The sequence below is a fragment of the Homo sapiens genome, chromosome 1, assembly GCF_000001405.40.
Source record: "Homo sapiens chromosome 1, GRCh38.p14 Primary Assembly".
Classification (NCBI taxonomy): Eukaryota; Metazoa; Chordata; class Mammalia; order Primates; family Hominidae; genus Homo; species Homo sapiens.
The window spans coordinates 205,875,245-205,892,857 of NC_000001.11; the positions used below are offsets into that span (position 1 = coordinate 205,875,245).

A 17,613-nucleotide genomic window follows, 5' to 3' on the forward strand; every position below is an offset into this window, starting at 1 on the left:
GAGCTTCCTTAGATCCCTTTGGAGATATAACTTGCTCTAATACTTGGAGAGGAAATGAAAGTCTGAAGCATTAGTACCTAGGAGGCAGGGATCGGAGGAAGTAGATTCAGAGGTAAGGAGAATTTTGGGGCTACACTTTCAAGAAAGTCATGGTCAGGACCCAGGAGGTATGGGTCAGAAGGAGAGGTAGGGGCGCATGCATGGGCAACTGTTGAGTAGAGACTTCTGGCTGTGCCATGATCTCGACTGGCCAATGCCAGGAGTTCAGGATGACAGCTTTCTGCCTCTAGTCGGCCCTTGGCTTCCCCCAGGAAATTGTGAAAGCAGAAGCTGGTTCCAGGCAGACCAGTGCTCCCAACCCAGAAGGGTTGGGGGTTGTTAGAAAGCCTTTTCCCAGGAAGCCTCACACTTGAGTCTTAAGTCCAGCAGCCATGCTAATCATTTTTAACTGGCCAACAGGTGCCCAGTATTTTCCTCCAGTTCTAAGGAAGGATAGGACAGAATAGCAAGCAAAAGTGGTACAATATTACTCACTGCTTTGGAGAATCCCTGTATGGTTGCCACCAAATGTTACGGGTGGGTCTTTGTTCTGCACATGTATTTTTTACATGCATAGAATGTGTAATGATCAAGTCAGGGTATTTGGGGTACCTATCACCTTGAGTATTTATCATTTCTATGTATTGGTAACATTTCAAATCCTCTCTTCTAGCTACTTTGAAATGTACAATGCATTGTTGCCAACTATAGGCACCCTACTGTGCAAGAGAATACTGGGGCTTCTTTGTTCTATCTAACTATATGTTTGTACCAGTTAACAAATCTCTCTTTATCCTCCCTCCCACCCACACATTCTTCTTAGCCTTTGTTATCTATCATTCTTTTCTCTGTCTCCAGGAGATCAATTTTTTTAAACTCCCATATATGAGTGAGAACATGAGGTATCTGTCTTTCTGTGTCTAAGTTTTTTCATTTAAAGTAATGACCTCTAGCTCCATCCATGTTGCTGCAAATGACATAATTTCATTCTTTCTTATGTCCAAATCACATTTGACTTGTATATGTGTGTATGTGTGTGTGTGTGTACATATATATATATATACGCATACATGTATGTCACATTTTCTATATTCATTCATCTATCGATGACACAGATTGATTCTATATCTTTGCTATTGTGAATAGCACAGTCATAAACATGCAAGTGCAGGCATTCCTTTGGTATACAGACTTCCTTTGGACAAATATCCAGTAGTGGGATTGCCCGATCATATGGTAGTTCTACTTTTAGTTTTGTGAGAAATCCTGATACTGTTTTCCATTGTGGTTGTACTAATTTACATTCCCACTAACAGTGTATAAGATTTCCCTTTTCTCCACATCCTCACCAGCATCTGTTATTTTTTGTAATTTTATTAATAGCCATTCTCATGGGGGTAAGATGATATTTCATTGTGGCTTTGATTTGCATTTCCCTGATGCTTAGTGATGTTGAGCATTTTTTCATATACCTGCTGTCCATTTGTAGTCTTTTTATTTTTTAATTTAATTTAATTTAATTTTTTTTTGAGACAGAGTCTCTTTCTGTAACCCAGGCTGGAGTGCAGTGGCAGGATCATAGCTCACTGTAACCTCAAACTCCTGTGCTCAAGTGATCCTCCTGTCTCAGCCTCCTGAGTAGCTGGGACTACAGGTGCGCACCACCATGCCTGGCTAATTTTTTAAATTTTTGTGGGGACAGGGTCTCAGTATATTTCTCAGACTGGTCTCAAACTCCTGACCTCAAGTAATCCTCCTGCCTTGGCATCCCAAAATGCTGGGATTACAGATGTGAGCCACCATGCCCAGTCTGTATGTCTTCTTTTGAGAAATATGTATTCATGTCATTTGCCCACTTTTAAATGAGATTATTTGTTTTTTTATTATTGTTGAGTTGTTTGATATTCCTGTATATTCTGGCTATTAGTCCCTTGTCAGATGAATAGTTTGCAAATATTTTCTCCCATTCAGTAAGTTGTCTCTTCACTCTGTTGATTGTTTCCTTTGATGTGTAGAAGCTTTTTAGTTCAATATAGTCCCATTTGTCTATTTTTGTTATAGTTTCTGTGCTTTTGAGGTCTTAGCCATAAAATCTTTGCCTAGACTCATGTCTTAAAATATTTTCTCTATGTTTTTTCCTAGCAGTTTTATAGTTTCGGGTCTTATGTTTACAGTTTTAATCCATCTTCAGTGATTTTTGTGTATGGGGAGAGAAAAGGGTCCAGTTTCATTCTTCTGGATACAGATATCCAATTTTCCCAACATCATTTATTGAAGAGGGTATCTTTCCCCCAGTGTATGTTCTTGAAGCTTTTATTGAAAATCAGTTAGCTGTGAATGTGTGGATTTATTTCTGGACTGTCTATTCTGTTCCATTGGTCTATGTGTCTGTTTTTATACCAGTGCCTCAACCTCCCAAGTAGCTGGGATTACAAATGCCTGCCATTATGCCCGGCACATTTTTTTTTTTTTTTGTATTTTTAGTAAAGATGGGGTTTTGCCATGTTGGCCAGGCTTGTCTTGAACTCTTCACCTCAAGTGATCTGCCCACCTCAGCCTCCCAAAGTGCTGGGATTACAGGCGTGAGCCACCACACCCAGCCCTTTTTACTCTTTTTGACTTAATTTTATCTGATATAAGTATAGCTACTTCTGCTTGCTTTTGGTTTCCATTTGCATGGAATATCTTTTTCCATTCCTTTGAGTGTAGATGTTTCTTTCTTGTAGGCACTATTTTGTTGGATTTTGTTTCTTTATCCATTCAGCCAGTCTATATTTTTTAAGTGGAAAATTTAATTCATTCACATTCAAGGCTATTATTGATATGGAGGTTTTATTACTGTCATATTGTTAATTATTTTCTGGTTGTTTTGTATATTCTTTGTTCTTTTCTTCCCTCTTGTTGATAGTAATTGTGGTTTGGTGGTTTACTGTAGTGGTACCACTTAAGTCCTATCTCTTCCTCATTTATGTATTTGGTTTACCAGTGAGTTTTATACTTTTGTGTGTTTTTATTATGGTAAATGTCCTTTCACTTCCAAGTTCAGGACTCCCTTGGACATTTCTTGTAGGGCTGGTCTTGTGGTGTGTTCCCTCAGAATTTACTTGTCTGGGAAAAACTGTTTCTCCTTCATTTATGAATTTTGCTGGATGTAGTGTCCTTGGGTGGCAGGTTTTTTCTCCCAGCACTTTCAATATGTTATCCCATTCTCTCCTGGCCTGCAAGGTTTTGATATGGGTTTCTTTATAGGTGACTAGTTGCTTTTCTCTTACTGTTTTTAGTATTCTATACTTTGCTTTGACTTTAGACAGTTTGATTACAATATGCCATGGAGAAGATCTTTTTCCATTATATTTGTTAGGGAATCTTTGGGCCTCCTCCATCTGGATATCTAGATCTCTTGCTAGATTTGGGAAGTTTTCAACTAATATTTTGTTAAATAAGTTTTCTAACCCTTTGTTTTCTCTTCACTCTCAGGGACAGTGGTAATTTGAATATTTGTTCACTTTATGTTGTACCAAAGGTTACAAAAGCTCTGCTTATTCTTTCTAATTTTTTCTTTATTTTAATCTGCCTGGATTAGTTCAAAAGACTTGTCTTCAAGTTCTGAAATTCTTTTTTCTGTTTGATCTAGACTATTGAAGCTTTCAAATGTATTTTGTATTTAATTCAATGAATTATTCAGTTCCAGAATAAAAAAAAAACTATCTCTTCAGTAAAGTTCTCATTCATATCCTGAATTGTTTTTTTATTTCTGTGTATTGTTTTTCAGAATTATCTCACATCTCTCTGAGCTCTCTTAAACTCTGTATTTTGAATTATTTATCTGGGATTTCATAATTTCTTTTATGGGATCTGCTGTTGGAGATTTATTGTGTTCCTTTGGAAGTATCAGATTCCTTTACTTTTTCTTTTTTTTATGTAAAAACAAACAGTCCAAGAAAACATTTAGATTCCTTTACTTTTTCATGTTTCCTGTGCCTTTACATTGACATCTGTGCACCTAGTGTAACAGTTGCTTATTCCAATTTTTTGTATTTGCTTTCATAGAGGAGTATTTATTCAGGATGTATATGTGTTTTCGGCGGGTAGGGCACTTTGGCTTTGATTTTGGGTGAGTGCACTGGTATAATCTTTCTATGGTTTTTTTCAGTTGTAAATACAATCAGTGGTATCTGTGATTTCCTCAGTGACTTAGGGTGCAGTTATTAGTGGAGGCTGTGGTGAAGTTTTTGCTAGGGACTAGGATGCCAGGTGGGCTAGCCTTTGGGCCCCAGTTTTGGCAGCAGGGGGCTGAGCATGCTGTCATTGGTTCCCAAGGCAGCTTATGCTAGCATTAGTGTTAGTGGGTCCAGGGAGGCTGATTACTGGGCCTCCAGGTGGCTTGCTGTGATGCCAGTAGAGACAGTGGTGGGCTGGGCATGTTGACAGGTTTTTGGGCCCCTGGGCAGAGAGGCTAATGTGGGTGGTGGCAGTAGCAGTAGAGGAACAACTCACTGAAACCCAAGTAGTCTGTGCTGGTGTTGGTGGTGGCTGTGACAGGTTAAGTGGGCCAGTTCCATAGCCCATTGGTGGCATGTACAGGTAGGTACTGTCTTTGGTAGTATTGACAGATTGGGTTGGCCTGACTTCAGATCCTGGGAGGAGTGTTCAAGTGCCAATGATGGTAGACTGGGCCAGAAGATCTCCAGGCCCCTGAATGGCATGCTTGAGTACTGGGGGGACAGGATTGGGCTAGTAGACTTGTCCTCAAGTCCCTGAGTATTGCATTCAGGGGCCAGCTGTGATAGACAGGGCTGGGTGGTCTCCAGGCCACCAGCAGAATCCTCAGGTAGGGGCAGTGGTGGCTGCGAACATTTCTCTAGTTCTCAGAGGAATGTGGAGCCCTGAGGGCCTCTCACCCTTTCTCTAGTGTGTGGGAGCTTATCTCAGCTCCTAGCTGATCCTGGCTGAGCAGGCTGTCTTGCTTCCCTCTTTTTCTTTGCTTTTGGTGCTTCCTGTCACTTCTCTTTTGAATTACATTGTTCTCTCATAGATAATCTATTTGAAGTATGAATATCTACTTGTTATTTTGGCTCATCTCCAAAGAAGAGGTGTGTTCTAGCTGCATCTAGTCAGCTAAATTGAACGCTTGCTTGCTGTAATTTTGTATCATTTAACAAATCTCTCTATCCCTTCCTTCCCCCTACCCTTCCTAATCTCTAGTATCCTCTGTTCTACTTTTTATTTCTATGAGATCAACTTTTTTTTAGCTTCCATATATGAATGAGAACATGCAGGGTTTAACTTTCTGTTTCTGGCTTATTTCACTTAATGCAATGTTTGCCAGTTTCATCCATGTTGCTGCAAATGACAGGATTTCATTCTTTTATATAGGTGAATAGTAAACCATTGTGTATACACACTACATTTTCTTCATCCAATTATATCTTGTTGGACACCCAGGTTGATTTTATATCTTGGCTATTGTGAATAGTGCTGTAATAAACATCAGGGTGCAGATGTCTCTCTGATATAATTATATCCTTTCTATTGGATAAATTCCTATTAGTGAGATTGCTGGATCATATGTTCCCATATGATCTATTTGTAGTTTTTTTTTTTTGAGGAAACTCCATAGTGCTCTTCATAGTGGCTGTACTAGTTTATATTTCCACCAGCAGTGTATAGGAATTCCCTTTTCTCCACATCCTTGTCAGCATTTGTTATTTTTTGTCTTTTTGATAATAGCCATCCTAACTGGGGTGAGATGATACCTCACTGTGGTTTTGATTTGCATTTCCTGGATGATTAGTGATGTTTAGCATTTTAAAATTATACCTGTTGGCCATTTATATGTCCTCTCTTGAGAAGTGTCTGTTCAGGTCACTTGCCCATTTTTAAATCAGATTGTTTTTTGACTGTTAAGAAGTTTGAGTTCTTTATATATTCTGGATATAAATTTCCTGTTGGATAAGTAGTTTGAAAATATTTTCACCCATTCTGTAAGTTGTTTTTTCCCTCTGTTGATGGTTTCTGTTGTTGTGCAAAAGCTTTTTGGTTTGGTAATCCCATTTGCTTGTTTTTGCTTTTGTTGCCTGTGCTTATAAGGTATTATCCATAAAATCTTTTTCCAGACCAATGTCCTGAAGTGTTTCCCCTATGTTTTCTTCCAGTAGTTTAATTGTTGTGTGTCTTACATTTAGGTCTTAGATCCATTTTCAGTTAATTTTTGTATAGGGTGAGTGGTGGGAGCCTAGTTTCATTCTGCATGTTGGTATCCAGTTTTCCTAGCATCACGTTTATTTTTTTGAGACAGAATCTCACTCTGTTGCCCAGGCTGGAGAGCAGTGGTGCAGTCACAGCACACTGCAGCCTTGACTTCCCAGGCTCAAGCAAGGGAAGAGGTGAGAGGTCACCTCAGCCTCCCAAAGTGCTGGAATTATAGATGTGAGCCATTGGACCCAGCCCCCAGCATCATTTATTGAAGAGGTGTCCCAATGAGTGTTCTTGACATCTTTGTCAAAAATCAGTTGGCTGTAAATATGTGGATTAATTTCTGGGTTCTCTACTCTGTTCTATTGGTCTATGTGTCTGTTTTTATGCAATACCATGTGTTTTGGTTACTATAGCTCTGTAGTATATGTTGAGGTCTGGTATTGTGATATCTCTAGCATTGTTCTTTTTGCTCAGGGTTGCTTTGGCCATTTGGAGTCTTTTGTGGTTCCACACAAATTTTAGGATTTTTTTTTTCTATTTCTCTGAAAAATGTCATTGGTATTTTCATAGGGATTGGATTGAATCTGCAGATTGCATTGGTTAGGATTGTCATTTTAATTATATGAATTATTCCATTCCATGAGGATGGGATATTTTTCCATTTGTTTGTATCATCTTCATTTTCTTTATTTTAAATCAGTTTTTTGTAGTTTTCTTGAGGAGGTCTTTCACCTTCTTGGTTAAATTTATTCCTAGGTATTTTATATATTTTTTGCTATTGTAAATGGGATTGCCCTCTTGATTTCTTTTTCAGCTAGTTTGCTGTTTGTGTATAGAGCTGCTACTGATTTTTGTATATTAAGTTTGTATCCTGCAATTTTACTGAATTCATTTATCGGTTCTAAGAAAAAAAAAACCCTTTAGGTTTTTCTATATATAAGATTATGTCATCTGCAAACAGGAATAATTTGATTTCCTCCTTTCCAATTTCAATACCTTTTATTTCTTTTTCTTGCCTGACTGCTCTGACTAGCACTTCCAGCACTATGTTGACTACAAATGGTGAAGGTAGGTATCTTTGCCCAGTTATACTTCTTAGAGGAAAATCTTTAAGCTTTTCTCAGTTCAGTAAGATATTAGTTGTGGATTTATCATATAAGGCCTTTATTAGGTTGAGGTACTTTCCTTTTATACCTAATTTATTAAGGGTTTTTATAATAAAGAAATGTTGAATTTTATAAAAAGCTTTTTCTGCATCTATTGAGATTATCATAGTATTTTATCCTCCATTCTATTGATGTGATGGGTGACAATTATTGATATGCATATTTTGAATCATCTTTGCATTCCTGGTATAAATCCCACTCAATCATGGGGTATTATGTTTCTGATGTGCTGTTAGATTTGGTTTTCTAGTATTTGCTGAGGATTTTTGCATTTATGTTCACTAGAGGTATTGCCCTGTTGTGTCCTTGTCTGGTGTTGGTATCAGGATTATGCTGGCCTCATAGAATGAGTTAGGAAGAATTCCTTCTGATCTAATATTTTGGAATAGTTTGAGAATAATTGGTAATAATTCTTTAAAGGTTCAGTAGAATTAAGCAATGGAGCAATTGGTCCTGGACTTTTCTCTGTTGGAAGGATTTTTATTACTATTTGATTTTGTTGCTTGTTACTGATCTGTTTGTGTTTTCTGTTTCTTCTTGGTTCAATCTTGGTAAGTTGTATGTTTCCAGGAATTTATCCATTTCCTTCAGATTTTCCAGTTTGTCAGCATATGATTGTTCACAATATTCTGTAATGATCTTTTGTATTTCTATGGTATACATTGTAATGTCTTCTTTTTTGTTTCTGATTTCATTTATTTGGGTTCTCTCTCTTTTCTCTTAGTCTATTAAATGATTTGTTAGTTTTGTTTATCTTTTCAAAAAATCAACTTTTGCTTCATTGATCCTTTGTATTGTTATTGTTTTTCTAGTCTCAGTTTCATTTATTTTTGCCCTTATTATTTATTTCTTTCTATTAATTTTGGGTATGGTTTGTTCCTGCTTTTTTAGTTTTTTGAGGAACATTGTTAGGTTGTTTGAGACCTTTTTAGTTTTTTGATGTAGGCATTTATTGCTATATACTTGCTTCTTAATACTGCTTTTGCTGTATCCTACAGGTTTTGGTATGTGTATTTGTATTTTCATTTTTTCCAGGAATTTAAAAATTTTACTCTTAATTTATTTCTTCACCGATTGGTCATTCAGGAGCATGTTGTTTAATTTCCATTCATTTGTATAGTTTCCAAAGTTCCTGTTGGTGTTGATAACTAGTTTTATTCCACTGTGGTCTGAGAAGACACTTAATATAATTTTGATTCTTTAAAACTTGTTGAGACTGTTTTGTGGCCTAATATATGGTCCATCCTGGAGAATGTTCTGTGTTCTGATGAAAATAATGTGTATTCTGTAGCAATTGGGTGAAAGGTTCTGTAAATATCTCTTAGGTCCACTAGGTCTATGGTGCAGTTTAAATCTGATGTTTCTTTGTTGATTTTCTGTCTAGATGATCTGTCCAGGGACAAGAGTAGGGTGTTGCAGTCCCCAACTGTTATTATATTAGGACCTGTCTCTTCCCTTAGATCTAATAATATTTGCTTTATTTGTATGTGAGTGCTCCAGTGTTGGGTGCCCATATATTTACAACAGTTATATTCTCTCATTGAATTGACACCTTTGCTGTTATATAATGTCCTTCTTTAGCTCTTTACAGCTTTTAACTTGAAGTCTGTTTTGTCTGATATAAGTATAGCTACTCCTGCTCAAATATGGTTTCCTTTTGCATGGAGTATCTTTTTCTATCTGTCCTCTTTCAGTCTGTGTGTCTTTAAAGGTAAGCAGCATATGACTGGGTCTTGTGTTTTTATCCATTCAGCCAGTGTATGTGTATACATATATATATATATGTGTATATATATATGTGTGTGTATATATATATATATGTGTATATATATACATATATATGTATATGTATATATATACACATATATATGTATATGTATATATATATACACATATATATATATATATACACATATATATATATATTTTGTGAGCAACAAGGCTGTTTATTTCACCTGGGTGCAAGCAGGCTAAGTCCAAAAAGACAGTCAGCAAGGGTGGTGGGATTATCATTAGTTCTTATTGGTTTGGGGATAGGCGGTGGAGTTAGGAGCAATGTTTTGCAGGCAGGGGGTGGATTTCACAAAGTACATTCTCAAGGGTGAGGAGAATTACAAAGAACCTTCTTAAGGGTAGGGGAGATTACAAAGAATCTTCTTAAGGGTGGGGGAAATTACAAAGTACATTGATCAGTTAGGGTGGGGCAGAAACAAATCACAATGATGGAATGTCATCAGTTAAGGCTGTTTTCACTTCTTTTGTGGATCTTCAGTTGCTTTAGGCCATCTGGATGTATACACGCAGGTCACAGGGGCTATAATGGCTTTGCTTGTGCTCAGAGGCCTGACATTCCTGTCTTCTTATATTAATAAGAAAAACAAAACAAAATAGTGAAGTGTTGGAGTGGTGAAAAATTTTGGGGGTGGCATGGAGAGATAATAGGCGATGTTTCTCAGGGCTGCTTCAAGCAGGATTAGGGGCAATGTGGGAACCTAGAGTGGGAGAGATTAAGCTGAAGGAAGATTTTCTGGTAAGGGGTGATATTGTGGAGTTGTTAGAAGGAGGATTTTTTGTATAGAATTATTGGTAATGTCCTGGATGCGGTTTTGTATGAATTGAGAAACTAAATGAAAGACACAAGGTCTGAAGAAAAGAAGGAGAAAAATAGATATTGAATGACTAGAAATTGGGAGTGCCCAGGATGTCCAATTAGAGTGTCCAAGGGGATTCAATGTTACTGTTTTCTTGATTGGTGAGTTTTTTGGCTCTATCCTTGAGTTTTTTTATACCATGCCAGATTGATTTAGATAAAAACAACACTCTTCATTTAAAAATATACAGAGTCCCCCTTCCCCTTTTTTTTAGCAGTGAGTAAGTCAGGGCCTTGGTGATTTTGGAGGAAAGAGAAATGCAAAGCCAGCAATTGTTTGTTAAAGAAGGATTAGAAATGGCTAGGAGAGAGTGAGTTTGATAGTGTGGTGGAGATAGCTGGGGAGAGGTAGAGGGTGGCATAAGAATAGGAACCAGAATAAGAGTGAGTATAAAAGTAAAGAATAGGACTTCATCAGGGTGAAAGTATTGGAGTGTACTTTGTCAATGAAGATCTTCTATCCACTTAAACAGAGACTTAAGGGTGGCAGTTTGAGGTAAAACCAGGCACCACTGAATACCAAGAGCCTGAGAAACTGCTTGGGTGATTGGACTAGTAAAGGCCGGTCTGTTATCGGACTGTATAGAGGTGGGAAGGCCAAACCGAGGAATTATGTCTGACAGAAGGGAAGAAATGACCATGGTGGCCTCCTCAGACCCTGTGGGAAAGGCCTCTACCCATCCAGTGAAAGTGTCTACCCAGACCAAGACGCATTTTAGTTTCCTGACTCAAGGCGTATGAGTAAAGTCAATTTGCCAGTCCTGGTTGGGGGCAAATCCCTGAGATTGATGTGTAGGGAAAGGAGGGGGCCTGAACAATCCCTGAGGAGTAGTAGAATAGCAGATGGAACACTGAGAAGTGATTTCCTTAAGGATAGATTTCCATGGTGGAAAGGAAATGAGAAGTTCTAAGAGTCAGGCTAGTGGCTTGTAACCTACATGGGAGAAGCTATGAAATGACGACAGAATAGAATGGGCCTGTGAGGCTGGAAGGAGATACTTTCCTTGGTCCAAGAACCATTTGCCTTGTGTGGGAAGAGATTGATAGGTGGAAGTTTCAGTGGGGGAGTAGGTGGGAGTGACCAGATAAGAAGGAGAAAAGCTGCTGTGAGGGATAGAAGTTGGAATGCTAGCTGCTTTTTTAGCTACCTTATCAGCATAAGCATTGCCCTGAATGATGGGATCTGATGCCTTTTGATGGTGCTTGCAGTGAATGACTCCAGCTTCCTTTGGAAGTAAAGTGGCCTTGAGAAGAGTTTTTATTAAAGAGGCGTTAATGATGGAGGACCCTTGCATAGTGAGGAAACCTCTTTCAGACCATATAACAGCATGGTGGTGCAGGATATGGAAGGCATATTCAGAGTCACTATAAATATTGACGCAAAATTCCTTTGCAAGAGTGAGGGCTCAAGTTAAGGCAATGAGTTCAGCTTGCTGAGAGGTAGTGGAGGGGTGCAGAGTGGTAGCCTCAATGATAGATGTGGAAGATACTCTAGCATAGCCTTCCTTTGCTGGTGAGTGGAGATTAGGCCTGGTGGAACTGCCATCAATAAACCAAGTGTGATCAGGGTGAGGAACACGAAAGAAGGAAATACGGGGAAATGGAGTGAATGTCAGGTGGATCAGAGAGATACAGTCATGGGGGACAGTTGTGGTATCAGGAATAATGTGGGAGGCCAGACTGAAGTCCAGGCCAGGAACAATGGTAACTGTCGGGGACTCAACAAAGAGTGAGTACAGCTGAAGGGGCCAGGGAGCAGAAAGTATATGTGTCAGGTATGAGGAAGAAAATAGATTTTGGAAGTTATGAGAACTGTAGAGGGTGAGTTGAGCATAGTTTGTGATTTTGAGGGTCTCTAAAAGTATTAGGGCACCAGCAGCTGCTGCATGGAGACATGATGGCCAGCCTAAAACAGTAAGGTCAGGTTGTTTGGACAAAAAGCCTACAGGGTGTGGTCCTGGCTCTTGTGTAAGAATTTTGACCGCACAGTCCTGTACTTTGGCTGTGTGTAACGAAAAGGGTTGGGATGAGTTAGAGAGAGCTAGTGTGGGGGCAGCTTCTAGGGCTGTTTTTAAGGAACGGAAAGGGAAGTGGCAAAAGGATTTAGGATCTATGGGGTCAGCTAGGTTTCCTTTTGTGAGTTTATATAATGGTTTAGTCAGGATGGTAAAACTAGGTATCCAAAGGTGGAAGTACCTAACCATGCCTAGGAAGGGAAGAAGTTGTTATTTTGTAGAAGGGGTTGGGGTTTGGGAGATTGGCTGGACATGATCAGCTGGGGGAGCACGTTGTTTTCATGAAGAATTATGCTGAGATAGGTAATGGATGAGGAAGAAATTTGGGCTTGACTGAAGTAATGGGGGCTGTCCATGAAGCCTTGTGGCAGTACAGCCCTGGTAAGTTGCTGAGGCTGATGGGTGTCAGGGTCAGTCCAAGTGAAAGTGAAGAGAGGCTGGAATGAAAGGTGCAAAGGAATAGTAAAGAAAGCATATTTGAGATCTAGAACAGAATAATGGGTTATGGAGGAGTTGTGGAGGGAGGCATTGAGGATAGGAGAGTATATGGTTTTGGCACCATGGAGTGGATAGGCAAGACAATTTGGTCGATAAGGCACAGATCCTGAACTAACCTGTAAGGCTTGTCTGGTTTTTGGACAGGTAAAATGAGGGAATTGTAAGGAGAGTTTATAGGCTTTAAAAGGCCATGCTGTAACAGGTGAGTGATAACAGGCTTTAATCCTTTAAGTGTGCTGTGGGATGGGATATTGGCATGATAAGGGTGATTATGTTTAATGGGATAGTAATGGGTGTGTGATCAGTTGCCAGTGAGGGAGTAGAGGTATCCCACACTTGTGGATTAAGGTGGGGAGATAACAAGGGAGGATGTGAAGGAGGTTTTGAACTGGGGAAAAGGGCAGCAATGAGGTGTGGCTGTAGCCTAGGAATAGTCAGGGAAGCAGACAATTTAGTTAAAATGTCTTGACCTAATAAGGGAGCTGGGCAGGTGGGGATAACTAAAAAGGAGTACATTAAAGAATATTGTCCAAGTTGGCACCAGAGTTGGGGAGTTTTAAGATGTTTAGAAGCCTGGCCATCAATACGCACAACAGTTATGGAGGCAAGGGAACAGGCCCTTGAAAAGAAGGTAGTGTGGAGTTGGTAGCCTCTGTATTGATTAAGAAGGGGACAGACTTACCCTCCACTGTAAGTTACCCAAAACTCGGCATCCGTGACAGTTCAGGGGGCTTCTGAGGTGATTGGCAGTGTCAGTGTTCAGCCACTAAGCCAAGAAGACCTGGGAAGGAGACAGTCAGAGCCTTGGGCCAGTTGGACAGTCCAATTTCCAGTGGGGTCCCGCACAGATGGGACACAGCTTAGGAGGAATCCCAGGCTGCAGGCATTCCTTGGCCCAGTGGCCAGACTTCCAGCACTTAAAGCAAGATCCTGGGGGAGGAAGTCCTGAAGGGATGCCTGGCTGCTGTGGCTTAGGCATTTTGAAGTTTTTGTGTGCTGGAGATATGGCTGGGGTTTCTCTCACAGCAGAGGCAAGTAATTGCAACTCTTCTCTATTATCATACACCTTGAAGGTGCAGTTAATTAAGTCCTGTTGTGGGGTTTGAGGGCCAGAATCTAATTTTTGGAGCTTTTTCTAATGTCAGCAGCAGATTGGGTAATAAAATGCATAGAGAATAAGATAGCCTTCTGGCCCCTCTGGGTCTAGGGCAGTAAAGCGTCTAAGGGTTGTTGCCAAATGGGCCATGAACTGGGCTGAGTTTTTATATTTGATGTTAAAAACTGATTTGGGAGAGGTCGGATAAAGAAAAAAAGGAGCATTAACCTTGACTATGCCTTTAGCTCCAGCCACCTCTTTAACAGGAAATTGTTGGGCAGGTGGGGGAGGGCTAGTTGCAGAACGAAACTGTAAGCCAGATTGGGTGTGAGGAGGGGAAGTGATAGAAAGATTATAGGGTGGGGGAGCAGAGGCTGAGGAAGAATTGGGTCCTAGCTTGGCCTGGCGAGGAGCAGCCTGGGGAGAAGGGGAGAGGTCAGATCAGTCTGTAGAAAAGAAGGATTCAAAGGACTCAGAGTTTGGGGTGGAGACTGAAGGAACAGACAGGAGCTAAAGAAGAAAGATTTGGGATGAGTTGCATTGGGCACAGAGACTAGGGAGGGACCAATGTGTATTAGAAGGCCTGGATGTCAGGCACCTCAGACCATTTGCCCATTTTTCAACAAAAATTATCTAGGTCTCGGAGGATGGAGAAATCAAAAGTGCCATTTTCTGGCCATTTAGAACCATTGTCGAGTTTGTATTGGGGCCAAGCAGTGTTGCAGAAGAAAATAAGACATTTAGATTTTAGTTCAGGTGATAGTTGAAGAAATTTTAAGTTCTTGAGAACACAGGCTAAGGGAGAAGAAGGAGGAATGGAGGGTGGAAGTTTGCCCATAGTGAAGGAGGCAAGTTTAAAGAGAAAGGTAGAGACATGGAGAAAGGGTTGGGGAGCAGCCCTGGGCTGCAATGTGGGTGAGCAGCCAAAGCAGGCATCCCCGCAATTGACTTGCCACCAAGGGAATGTGGTTGAATGACCAAGGCAGGCATCCCTGAAGATATCAGACGCCAATGGAATGTGGGTGAATAATCAGGCAGGCATCCCCGGAATGATTAAACACTAAGGGAAGGCTGCCTTCCTGAGTACATGACCAGCACCAGAGTTTTGGGTCCATGGATAAAATGTGTCTCCTTTGTCTCTACTAGAAAATGAAAGGAATTGAAATTAAGAGAAGAGAGGGAGTGAAGGGTGGCACCAAGAATGAAAGGAGAAAGAGGTTGAGGGATAGTGAGAAAGGTTGGAGAAGAGAGTAAAAAGAGGCCACTTACCCGATTTAAAATTTGTGAGATGTTCCTTGGGCTGGTTGGTCTGAGGACCAAAGGTCGTAGGTGGATCTCTTCATGGAGTGAGGGTGAGGACAGGGGACAGTCTCCTGAAGGAGTCCTGCTGACCTGGGTCTTTGGCACCAAATGTGTCATGCATCCATGTGAAGAGACCACCAAACAAGCTTTGTGTGAGCAACAAGGCTGTTTATTTCACCTGGGTGCAGACGAGTTGAGTCCAAAAAGAGAGTCAGCCCAGTCTATATCTTTTAAATGGGAAAATTCAATCTATTTACATGCAACGTTATTCTTGATAGGTGAGTACTTACATCTAGCATTCTATTATTTTCTGCTTGTTTTGTATATCCTTTGTTCCTTCCTCTCTTACTGTTTACTTTTGTGGTTGGGCAGTTTTCTGTAGGGATAAGATTTGAGTCTTATCTCTTTCTCCCTATGTGTTAGCTTTACCAGTGAGTTTTTATAGTTTCACATATTTTTATGATGCTGGTTATCATCTTCTCTGTGGGGAACAGGCCCCCCAAAACCTGGCCATAAACTGGCCCCAAAACTGGCCATAAACAAAATCTCTGCAGCACTGTGACATGTACATGATGGTCTTAACGCCCACGCTGGAAGGTTGTGGGTTTACCAGAATGAGGGCAAGGAACACCTGGCCCACCCAGGGTGGAAAACCGCTTAAAGGCATTCTTAAACCACAAACAATAGCATGAGTGATCTGTGCCTTAAGGCCATGCTCCTGCTGCAGATAGCTAGTCCAACCCATCCCTTTATTTCAGCCCATCTCTTCATTTCCCATAAGGAATAATTTTAGTTAATCTAATATCTATAGAAAGAATGCTAATGACTAGCTTGCTGTTAATAAATACATGGGTAAACCTCTGTTGGAGGCTCTCAGCTCTGAAGGCTGTGAGACCCTTGATTTCCTACTTCACTCCTCTATATTTCTGTGTCTTTAATTCCTCTAGTGCCACTGGGTTAGAGTCTCCCCGACCAAGCTGGTCTCAGCAAGTGGTCTCCATCATGGGGGCTCGAATCCAGGTTGAAGGGTCACCAGAGTGATGGTTGGAGAACATGGAACTAGCTGGAGGACACCTGAGTACTCTTAAAGCAAACCCCGTGGTGAGTAAGAAGGGGAGCTCAGAAGCATCAGGGTAACAATGGGACAAGTGTGGGGTCTGGTTCGTTCCATCTTGGAACTTTTTCACACTGATGATGAGGAAGAAGGAGAGTATAATGAAGTAACAGAAGAGGTTATAGAGCAGGTTTATTTGCCAGCTAAAGCTAAAGTGGCAAAGGAGGGAGAGGTTCATCCCTACCCTTCTGCACCCCCTCATTATTATTTTGAAGAAAAAGAGTGGCCTGACCCTCCAGATCTTTCTTTTCCAGAGGACAGTGGGCAAAAATTAGTTGCCCCAGTGACTGTTCAAGCAGCACCTCGAGCGACTGCTCTTAGTTCTATTCAGTCAGGAATTCAGCAAGCTAGATGAGAAGGTGATTAAGAGGCTTGGCAGTTCCCTGTTAGACTACACTGCCCAGACCAACAGGGAAATATTGTAGCTACATTTGAGCCTTTTTGTTTTAAATTACTCAAAGAATTTAAACAAGCTATTAATCAGTATGGACCAGGTTCTCCTTTTGTAATGGGACTATTAAAGAACATTGCTGTTTCCAGTCAGATGATTCCTACTGACTGGGACGCTCTTACTCAAGCTTGTCTAACTCCTGCTTAGTTCTTACAATTTAAAACTTGGTGGGCAGATGAAGCTTCCATTCAGGCTTCTCACAACACGCAGGACCAACCTCAAATTAATATAACTGCAGACCAACTTTTGGGGGTTGGCAGTTGGGCTGGTTTAGATGCACAAATGGTCATGCAGGATGATGCCATAGAACAGCTTAGAGGAGCGTGCATTAGAGCTTGGGGAAAAAAAATCACTTCAAGTGGAGAACAATACCCTTTCTTTAGTGCTATAAAACAGGGACCAGAAGAATCATATGTGGATTTTATAGCTCAGTTACAGGAGTCTCTTAAAAAGATGACTGCAGATTTGGCTGCTCAGGATATAGTGTTGCAATTATTAGCTTTCAACAATGCTAATCCTGATTGCCAGGCTGCTCTGTGACCTATCAGAGGGAAAGCACATTTAGTTGATTATATCAAGGCCTGTGGTGGTATCAGAGGTAATCTGCATCAGGCCACCTGCTAGCACGGGCAATGGCAGGACTGAGAGTGGATACAGAAAGTACTCCATTTCCTGGAGCTTGTTTTAACTGTGGGAAGCATGGTCATACTGAAAAAAAAAAAAGTAGAAAAAAATCAGCAAGTCGGGCCACCAGATAGGGGAAAAAAGAAAACTGCTGAGCCTGAAATATGTCCAAAATGTAAAAAAGGAAAACACTGGGCTAATCACTCTAAGTTTGATAAAGATGGGAACCTGATTTCAGGAAAAGCCATGAGGGGCCCATCCTGGGCCCCATTCCAAACTGGGGCATTTCCAGCTCGGGTCATTCCCTCACCCCTGTACAATGCCTGTCCCCCACCACAGCTGGTAGAGCCACACTAGATTTATGCTGCAGTAGATTTATGCTGAGTCTTCTGCCTGGGGAACCCCTGCAAAAGGTCCCAACAGGAGTCTGTGGTCCCTTGCCAGCAGGGACAATAGGATT

The 17,613-nt window shown here is 40.7% G+C and overlaps 1 long non-coding RNA gene across 2 annotated transcripts in view; it reads left to right on the forward strand.

The window, feature by feature from the left end:
* The window catches only part of PM20D1-AS1 (PM20D1 antisense RNA 1), a 34,009-nt gene that overhangs the window by 13,166 nt on the left and 3,230 nt on the right, over nucleotides 1–17,613 (forward strand). Inside the window, exons 1-2 of one of the 2 annotated variants that reach the window (NR_046098.1) lie at nucleotides 14,776–15,242; nucleotides 15,912–16,065. This is a non-coding gene — a long non-coding RNA (PM20D1 antisense RNA 1). Of the gene's footprint in view, nucleotides 1–14,775; nucleotides 15,243–15,911; nucleotides 16,066–17,613 lie in introns of those variants that run through there. The other variant, NR_046097.1, reaches the window with a different exon arrangement.